Source organism: Homo sapiens, chromosome 2 (assembly GCF_000001405.40).
Source record: "Homo sapiens chromosome 2, GRCh38.p14 Primary Assembly".
Lineage (NCBI taxonomy): Eukaryota > Metazoa > Chordata > Mammalia > Primates > Hominidae > Homo > Homo sapiens.
In genome coordinates, this window is record NC_000002.12 from 26,006,985 (window position 1) to 26,016,930 (window position 9,946).

The 9,946-nt window shown below is 45.7% G+C and overlaps 2 annotated features.

Moving 5' to 3' along the window:
- Positions 4,310-4,811: an enhancer, noted in NCBI's record as "H3K27ac hESC enhancer chr2:26234163-26234664 (GRCh37/hg19 assembly coordinates)". NCBI's record gives its function as "activates a minimal SCP1, AML or CMV promoter by ChIP-STARR-seq in primed H9 embryonic stem cells {active_cell/tissue: H9 hESC(primed)}" and the evidence as "EXISTENCE:reporter gene assay evidence [ECO:0000049][PMID:30033119]".
- Positions 4,812-5,311: an enhancer, noted in NCBI's record as "H3K27ac hESC enhancer chr2:26234665-26235164 (GRCh37/hg19 assembly coordinates)". NCBI's record gives its function as "activates a minimal SCP1, AML or CMV promoter by ChIP-STARR-seq in primed H9 embryonic stem cells {active_cell/tissue: H9 hESC(primed)}" and the evidence as "EXISTENCE:reporter gene assay evidence [ECO:0000049][PMID:30033119]".

The following is a 9,946-nucleotide window of genomic DNA, read 5'->3' on the forward strand; positions in this document are numbered from 1 at the left end:
CTTCCTTCAGCCCCCAGCCCAGTAGGAATTGGACTTTTTCCAGCACCTAGAGCCTCTTGGGTACCTGGAGACCTTCTCAGCATTTAGATGGGCCACATAGTTTAGCATTTAATTAGATATGGACTGGGCCTGGTGGCTCACGCCTATAATCCCAGCACTTTGGGAAGGTGAGGCAGGTGGATCACTTGAGGTCAGGAGCTCAAGACCAGCCTGGCCAACATGGTAAAACCCCATCTCTACTAAAAATACAAAAATTAGCTGGGCGTGGTGGTGCGCGCCTGTAATCCCAGCTACTCAAAAGGCTGAGGCAGGACAGTAGCTTGAACTCGGGAGGCAAAGATTGCAGTGAGCCGAGATTGTGCCACTGCACACCAGCCTGGGTGACAGAGTAAGATCCCATCTCAATAATAATAATAATTAGATATGGTCTTTCATTGTCTAGGTTGTTTTTTAGGAATATTACAGTTGAGCCGGGCATGGTGGCTCACACTTGTAATCCCAGTACTTTGGGAGGCCAAGGCAGGAAGATCATTTGAGCCTAGGAGTTCAGGAGCAGCCTGGACAGCACAGTGAGACCTCATCTCCATTTGTGTGTGTGTGGGTGTGTGTGTGTGTGTGTGTGTGTGTGTGTGTGACAGAGTCTTGCTCTGTCGCCCAGGCTGGAGTGCAGAGGTGCAATCTCAGCTCACTGCAACCTCCACCTACCTGGTTCAAGCAATTCTCCTGCCTCAGCCTCCTGAATAGCTGGGATTACAGGCGCACACTACCATGTCCAGCAAATTTTTTTGCATTTTTAGTAGAGACAGGGTTTCGCCATGTTGGCCAGATTGGTCTCGAACTCCTGACCTCAGGCAATCAGCCCACCTGGGCCTCCCAAAGTGCTGGGATTACAGGTGTGAGCCACTGCGCCCAGCCCTCTATTTTTTTTTTTTTTTAAGAATATTACAGTTTATTTGACAATTCTCTCATGGATCATCAACACTTACAGATGAAATGGAAACAATGTTGCGTCTCAAGATAGCTCCTCCTCTCCTCCTGCCATGTTTAACACTCTCACTGTTCCCAGCTGGTGTCTGCTCAGGGAGTTCATGCTAATTTTAATTTTCTCTAGTTATTAGCTTATTTGAGAGAAGAACTTGTGCCTATTGTTCTCTACTCCTTATAAGGGCCTAACCCACTGTTGAACACATTTTAAGTCTGCAGTACATCTTTGTTGGTTGTTTTAAAAATGATCTTCTGAGCTGGGTGCAGTGTGCATACCTACAGTCCCAGCTACTCAGGAGGCCAAGGTGAGAGGATTGCTTGAGCCCAGGGGTTTTAGACCAGCAGGGCAACATAGCAAGACCCTGTCTCTAAAACAAAGTAACCAAAAGTAATCTTCTGGCTGGGCATGGTGGCTCATGCTTGTAATCCCAGCACTTTAAGAGGCCGAGGTGTGTGGATCACCTAAGGTCAGGAGTTTGAGACCAGTCTGGCCAATATGGCAAAACCTCATCTCCAATAAAAATACAAAACTTAGCAGGGAATGGTGGCGCATGCCTGTAATCCCAGCTACTCAGGAGGCTGAGACAAGAGAATCACTTGAATCCGGGAGGCGGAGGTTTGCAGCGAGCTGAGATCGTGCCACTGCACTCCAGCCTGGGTGACAAAGTGAGACTCAGTCTCAAAAAAAAAACCAACAAAAAACCAAAACAAACAAACAAACAAACAAACAAAAAGACACCACATACAGGAATAAAATGTACTGAGGAGACAAAAGAGTGTCAACCCAAGGATCTCTTTCAGAGGGGTTCCCTTAACTCTGGCAGGCCATGAGGATGATGCCTGGGAGCCCCAGGATTCTCCTGTTACTTTCTTGTGTCCTCAGAAACCACCCTGGTGACTCAGTAACACAAACCTAGGGTGTTGAGTGGGTGGGGCACCGCTTCCCACCCCAGTTTATCTGGTTTTCCCAGGCAGAATAGTACACTGAAGCTGTAGGCAAAGAGGAAGCCCAAGATAGGGGAAGGCCAGGGTGTTGGTTCCTCAGTTTGTTGAAATCAGAGTCATGAAGCAAGACAAGCCAGGGCTTGCTCAGCATTTCTCCTTCCTGGCATGGGTTCACCTCAGCCCCAATTCAGTGGCAGCTCTGTTGGTTCAGAGGGGTGAGGTATCCAAGAGGAGGAAGCTTGTACAATCCTGCTAGCAGGGGAGGGCTGATGGTAGGGTGGAGTTTCAAAGGAAGCCTCTGACATCTGACAAAGGCTGAGTCAGTTATATTGCCCCATCTCTGAATCTGGCTTCTCCTGCTCCTCTACCCTACCCATCCTGCCTTCCAGACACACCAAAGTTCTTTTTATCCCTGACCATGACAGGCATGGCTGCTGTGTGCAGCTTCATAGGTTGTGCACTGCACAGTTCCAGGAGGTGCTATTCCCATAGACAAAGGAGTGAATAACAACTCCAAGAATCATGCACAATTGTACCAGGCAGCCCCGAGCCAAGCCCTTTTATGACTTCCTTCCTTTCCACATATTGCTTCCCCTGCCACAACTGCCCTTGTTTGCCTTTCCTCCCCCCATTTCTTTATATGGTGCAACATCTAACACTTAGTTCTCAAATTCTGCCCAAATATAATCCTGGTGAACACAAACATAACAGAATGCATATGGAAGACCTGACATACAGGAGTCTCGAACTGGCACATTGCCAGCTCATTAAGCTTGGTAGTTTTATTATGCCTGTGGGGTGTTCTAAAAGGTAATGTAAGTAAAGTCCATTAGAACAGCTAAGATGAAAAATACACAATACTAAGTGTTGGTGAAGATGTGGAGCAACTGGAACTCTCATACATTGCTAGTGGGAGTGTAAACTGGATAGCTACTTTGGGAAACTAGCGGTATCTACTAAAGTAGAAGAGATACCTAGTCATGATCTAGCAGTTCCTAGAAATACATACACATGTACTCCTAGAAATATGCATACATACATAGGCTTCAAAAAAAGTGCAAAAATGTTCACAGCAGCACTATTTATAATAGCCCCAAACTAGAAACAACTCAAATACCCATCAACCTTAGAATAGATGAATAATATGGTATATTAATAAAATGGGGATGGGCACAGTGGCTCATGCTTGTAATCCCAGCACTTTGGGAGGCCAAGGTGGGTGGATCACCTGAGGTCAGGAGTTCGAGACCAGCCTGACCAACATGGTGAAACCCCATCTCTACTAAAAATACAAAATTAGCCGGGTGTGGTGGCACATGCCTGTAATCACAGCTACTTGGGAGGCTGAGGCAGGAGAATTGCTTGAACCCGGGAGGTGGAGGTTGCAGTGAGCTGAGATTGTGCCATTGCCCTCCAGCCTGGGCAATAAGAGCACAACTCCGTCTCAAGAAAATACAAATGGCTGGGCACGGTGGCTCACGCCTGTAATCCCAGCACTTTGGGAGGCCAAGGCAGGCAGATCATGAGGTCAGGAGATCGAGACCATCCTGGCTAACACGGTGAAACCCCATCTCCATTAAAAATACAAAAAATTAGCCGAACGTGGTAGGGGCACCTGTAGTCCCACCTTCTCAGGAGGCTGAGGCAGGCGAATGGCGTGAACTGGGAGGCGGAGCTTGCAGTGAGCCGAGAACTCGCAAATGCACTCCAGCCTGGGTGACAGAGCAAGACTCCGTCTCAAAATAAATAAATAAATAAAAATAAAATAAAATAAAATAAAATGAGATGTAGGCCGGGTGAGGTGGCTCATGCCTGTAATCCCAGCACTTTGGGAGGCCTAGCTGGGTGGATCACCTGAGGTCGGGAGTTCGAGATCAGCCTGACCAACATGGAGAAACCCCATCTCTACAAAAAATACAAAATTAGCTGGCTGTGGTGGTGCATGCCTATAATCCCAGCTACTTGGGAGGCTGAGGCAGGAGAATCGCTTGAACCCGGGAGGCGGAGGTTGCAGTGAGCCAAGATTGCACCATTGTACTCCATCCAGCCTGAGCAACAAGAGTGAAACTCCATCTCGAAAAATAAATAAAATAAAATAAAATGGGATGTTACATAGCAGTGAAAGGAATTATTTCTTCACACAACACACAGAAAAGGTCAGACACAAAAGAATACATACTGCAAGTTCAAAAACAGGCACTATGGTGTTAAAAATTAGAAAAGTGGCTCCCCCGTGAGGATGGGTAGTGATTGGAAAGGAGCATGGCGTTTCTGATGTGCTGGTAATATTCTATTTATTAATGTGAGAGGTGGTTGCACAGGTGTGTTTATTTTGTGAAAGTTTATTGAGCTGTATACACTTAGGATTTGTGTGCTTTTGTGTATGTGTGTGATGCTTCAATAAAAACAATTACTTAACAGAAGAAGACAATGTCTACTTTTTGCCATGATGAAGGAATGGGGTCTAGATTTATCCTCTCCTTAATCAAGCAAAAAGTTGAATGAAATATATGAAACAGTGGTTTTAAGACATTGGTCATTGGTCAACAGGGAACTCAGGACAGTGATCCTTAAGAGAAGGGAAACCAAGGAGGTGAGCAGAGCAGATGTCCCAGCTGGAGAGAGTGTCCAAGCTATAGCACAGAGAACGTGGGCTCCTGGAGACCTGCAGAGGAGTCCCCTGACTTTTTTATTTTTGAGACAGGGTCTCACTTTGTCACCGAGGCTGGAGTGCAGTGGTGCGAACATGGCTCACTGCAGCCTCAACCTCCTGAGTAGCTGGGACTATAGGTGCAAGCCACCACACCTGGCTACTTTTTGTATGTTTTGTAGAGACAGGATTTCATCATGTTGCCCAGGTTGGTCTCAAACTCCTGAGCTCAGGTTATCTGCCTGCCTCAGCCTCCCAGAGGGCTGGGATTACAGGCGTGAGTTATTGCGCCTGGCTTCCCCTGATTCTTTGGGTTCCAATCAGTCACGTGTGTGAAGAAACTACTGACACACTGGGGAAAGGAACCCTGGAGAGGAGGAGGAAATGGATCCGTCAGCAGAGCTTACACAGGCTGGGGAGAGCTGGTGTTCCCATTAACTAGAGTAGAAAGACCTTCCAACCCACTGGGCATAGAGTGACACACACTGAGGCTGTGAGGCTAAACCTGCAGCAGTGAGAGAAGTAGTGGGTCTTAAGTCTAAACACGGCCTCTCAGGGGCCAGGTCAGACTAGAGGGAAATTTGATCTGCTAAATCCTCTGAGATTGAGCTAAAGCTTCTTAAGTCTTCCTGGTATGCATGAGACAGGGAGGGTCTTAGAACCTCGGGTACAGCTGAGCCTGTGTGCAGGAATTCAGTAACCCCAGGTGTGGACTATCAGTTTGAAGTTATCTATTGATATGTTTGTTTTTCTCTTATGCGTCATCCCCTCATCAGCGCGTGCACTCTGTGAGGATAGAGATCTTATCTGACTGTGTCACAAGGGCTCCGACCAATGCCTGGCACGTAAATGGCACTCAATAAATATTTGTTGAACTGATGTTGAATGAATAAACTCGCTCTAAACCAAACCCACGAGGGAGAAACCAGATGCAGCATTATTCATTCATTCTGTGAAATGTAATTGACAATAGGCCCGAAGAAACCCCTGTCAGCACATTCCTTGCTTTGTGGAAGGCACACTTCAGAAGCTCAAAGTATATCCAAGAGTCACTTTGTAAATACAGAGTAGGGCTAAGGGGACTTGAAAGATCTTAAGAGCCTGTGTCACTGAGCTATGGCACCCCGATGAGTCATGCTTTCCCACACAGGGACAGGCATCCCTTGCCAAACAGGATCCTGCCTTGCCCAGCACTGGCCTCTCTTCCCTGTCACCGTGGGAGAAACACTGACAGTCTGTCCTCTCCCACTTCTCTTCTCGGTACTCCTTATCAATCATAATGCTTCGGTCCTTTCTACTTGACCTCACATAACAGTGTCTTAGATTACACAGTGTCCCTTACTCGTTACATTTTCCATGTGAATTTGGCCACAATTTCATACATCCTGCAAAAGACAAAATAACCTAGACATGGATCAAGACCTCTCACTACCTAAGTTGCAAAGTCCCTCAGTCACTGTCTCTCGATTTCCCTATCTTTAGAAAATGAAATAATGTACCTTTTCCATCTAGCCTACAGGGCTGTTAAGCAAAAACAAACAAACAAACAAAAAACTGAAGAACATGAATATGAGTGGCTCAGAAGTTGTGATTTAGGCCAGGCACGGTGGCTCACACCTGTAATCCCAATACTTTGGGAGGCCGAGGCGGGCGAATCACGAGGTCAGGAGTTCGAGACCAGCCTGGCCAACATGGCGAAACCCCATCTCTACTAAAAATACACAAAATTAGCTGGGCGTGGTGGCAGGTGCCTATAGTCCCAGCTACTCGGGAGGCTGACGCAGGGGAATCACTTGAACCCGAGAGGCAGAGGTTGCAGTGAGCTGAGATCGTACCACTGCACTCCAGCCCAGGTGACAGTGGGAGCGAGACTCTGTCTCAAAAAAAAAAAAAAAAAAAGTTGTGATTTAACCTTTCTAATTAAAGTTCTATACTAGATTTGCCACTAATGAACTACATGACATGAGATCATTTTGTCAGATGCTTAGCCCAGCATCTTATTCTTAACAAGCCTCCAGGAAATATTTATTATTGACATGGGCTCTATTGCCATGAACTGAGATACCTCCCACTTTCCCAAGGAGCATGCTTGAGGAAAAATAGTTGCTTTTTAGGTAACTATTGTGCTTTTGTTTTGTTGAATGCAAATGATATGAGGTGATAAACTTGGGACCATAACTGAATGGTCTGGAAGAAAAGAGGGAATTCAGAAGTTGTATACGGAAAGAGATGAAGGGAGGAAAGTTGGCAATATGGTAGTAAGGGAGAAAACTTTTGGAGGGAGAACAGGTTTAGCTAGTGGAGTGGAGGGATCTAATTAAGCTTTGCTTTATGGTGTGTGATGTAATCCTCTTCTGTCTTCCCATGAAGCCTTCAGTAAAATCTCCTTAGTCATAGGTATTTTTGAATTTGGATGTATTGGAGGGGATGCAAACAAAGTTCTCAGTTTGGACTTGAGTTGTATAAGGAGTGAGAGCAAAGACCAATCATCTCCTGGTTATATTATCAATTTTAAAATGAGGAGGTGAGGCCGGGCCTGGTGGCATATGCCTGTAATCTCAGCACTTTGGGAGGCCAAGGCAGGCAGATCACTTGAGGTCAGGAGTTCAAGACCAGCCTGGCCAATATGGTGAAACCCCGTCTCTACTAAAAATACAAAAATTATCTGGGTGTGGTGGCAGTTGCCTGTAATCCCAAATGCTCAGGAGCCTGAGGCAGGAGAATTACTTGAACCTGGGAGGTGGAGGTTGCAGTGAGCTGAGATTGTACCATTGCACTCCAGCCTAGGCATTGCAGTGAGACTATGTCTCAAAAAAAAAAAAAAAAAAAAATATATATATATATATACATAAACACATATATATATACACACACATATATACATAAATATATATATATATATATAGAGAGAGAGAGAGAGAGAGAGAGAGAGAGAGACAGAGACAGAGACAGAGAGAGAGAGACAGAGAGAGAGAGACAAGGTTTCCACCCAGGCTGCAGTGCAGTGGCACAGTCTTGGCACACTGCAACCTCTGCCTCCTGGTCTCAGGTAATCCTCCCACTTCAGCCTCCCAAATAGCTGGGACCACAGGCATGCACCACCATACCCAGCTGATTTTTTTGTATTATTAATTTTGTGGAGATAAAGCTCATCACATTGCCCAGGCTGGTCTCAAACTCCTGGCCTGACATGATCTGCCCGCCTCGGCCTCCTAAAGTGCTGGGATTACAGGTGTGTGCCACTGCTCCCGGCCCACACATTGCAATTGGTTGAAAGTCTCTTTTATCTACAAATCACCCCTCTGACACTTTTTTTTTCCTCACAATTTATTTGTTAAAGAACCAAAGTTATTTATAATAGTGATAAATTGATGAATTATTAAAGTTAGGCTGGGTGTGGTGGTACATACCTGTAATCCCAGTACTTTGGGAGGCTGAGGCAGGAGGATCATTTGAACTCAGGAGTTCAAAAACAGCCTGGGCAATATGGCAAAACCCTGTCTCTACAAAAAATACAAAAATTAGCAGGGTGTGGTGGTGTGCTCCTTTAGTCCCAGCTACTTGAGGGGCTGAGGTGGGAGGATTGCTTGAGCCCAGGAGGTTGAGGCTACAGAGAGCCGAGACTGCGCCACTGTACTCCAGCCTGGGCAACAGAGTGAGACCCTGCCTCAAAAACATAAAAAAATTATTTTTAAGGAATTATTAAAGTTAGATATTATTAAGTCAGCTATATCAGTACAAAATGTAGAGACTTATCTGCAGTTTGTGAAAAAAGGCCTAGGATTTTTAGCTGGCCACAAACCTATTAGAGCAAACATCATGACACAGTTGCCAAAATCCTAATCTACACTTAGGTTACATTAACACCAGTACATGTGTACAATGAAAAATGTGGTCGTCTTTTCTACTACACCAGGTCAAACCATGCCTGGCATATCATGCCTGATTGTGGCTCCCACACTTTAAGAGAGATTGAAAAACTGGAGTGATTAGACAAAGTCCTGACGCTGGTAAGAGAGCTATAACATCCCTCCCCTGGCAGGGGAGCCTGGAGGAAAGAAGGGGAAGGGGTAGAGCTGGCTGTTTGCCTGCAGGAGACTCAAGACAGTGGGTCCTTAGCAATGAGAATACACAAAAGGCAGTGATGGGAGAAGGGGCCCTGGAAAACCCACCTTCAGGAGTTTTAAGGCTAAAGAAAAGGAGGAAGAAGGGAATGAGTTAGTGAGAGAGTACACAGAAATTATCAGATCCAACTGTGTGGTAGTAGCCAGTGGGACAGACACAAATTAAGAGTGCATGGAATTATGAAGGGCTGGGCATGGTGGCTCACGCCTGTAATCCCAGCATTTTAGGAGGCCAAAGCGGGCAGATCACTTGAGGTCAGGAGTTTGAGACCAGCCTGGCCAACATGGTGAAACCACGTCTCTAATAAAAATACAAAAGTCAGCCGGGCATGGTGGCGGGTACCTGTAATCCCAACTACTTGGGAGACTGAGGCAGGAGAATCGCTTGAACCCGTGAGGCGGAGTTTGCAGTGAGCCGAAATCATGCCATTAAGCTACAGCCTAGGATACAGGGTGAGACTTCATCTCAAAAAAAAAAAAAGTGCATGGAATTATGAAGTCAGGACTGTGGTGTGGTCTGGGCTGGCAGACGACCAGAAAACAACTGGCCCATGTAGGTATAAATACAATTTATTGGAGACCATTGGTTTGGACTGAGCTCCTGCACTAGGTCCAACAGACCAAACCAAAATGAAGTTACTCATGCTGAAGTTTCATGTCACCAAGCTGAAATTAAGTTTATCTGACCTTCTAAGAAATCAGGAGAATGAGAGATAATAGCCAAATTTCCAAAAAGGCCAGTTTTAGCCAGCGTGATAAGGAAGTCCCCTCTGCTTTAACCTTTATGAGAAAAGTAACTTTGAAACGACGAATCCACTTTTCGTTTTGTTTCTGCTTTCTGTCTCTAAAACCAACCTCCTCTGCTCGGCTCATGGGAACATTCACTCTGCCTTGTAGAATGAGATATTGCCCAATTCTGGAATTTCAAATGAAAGCCAGTTAAAATGTTTAAACTAAATTTGTTGGAATTTTGTCTTTTGACGTGGGAATCAGTGGGAAGGTATTGGGACTCTGGTGTGAATGCCCAGAATCAAGAGTGGAGAGCTGGGCAGAGCTTGGTCTCAGGCCTAAAAGCTTTGATATCAGTACAGTTTGAATAAGAGCTGGTCCCAAGGAACAAGGCAAAGTGAAAGACACTGATTTTTTTTTTTTTTTTTTTTTTAGATAGAGTCTTGCTCTGTCGCCAGGCAGGGTTGCAGTGGCGCAATCTCAGCTCACTGCAACCTCCGACTCCCGGGTTCAA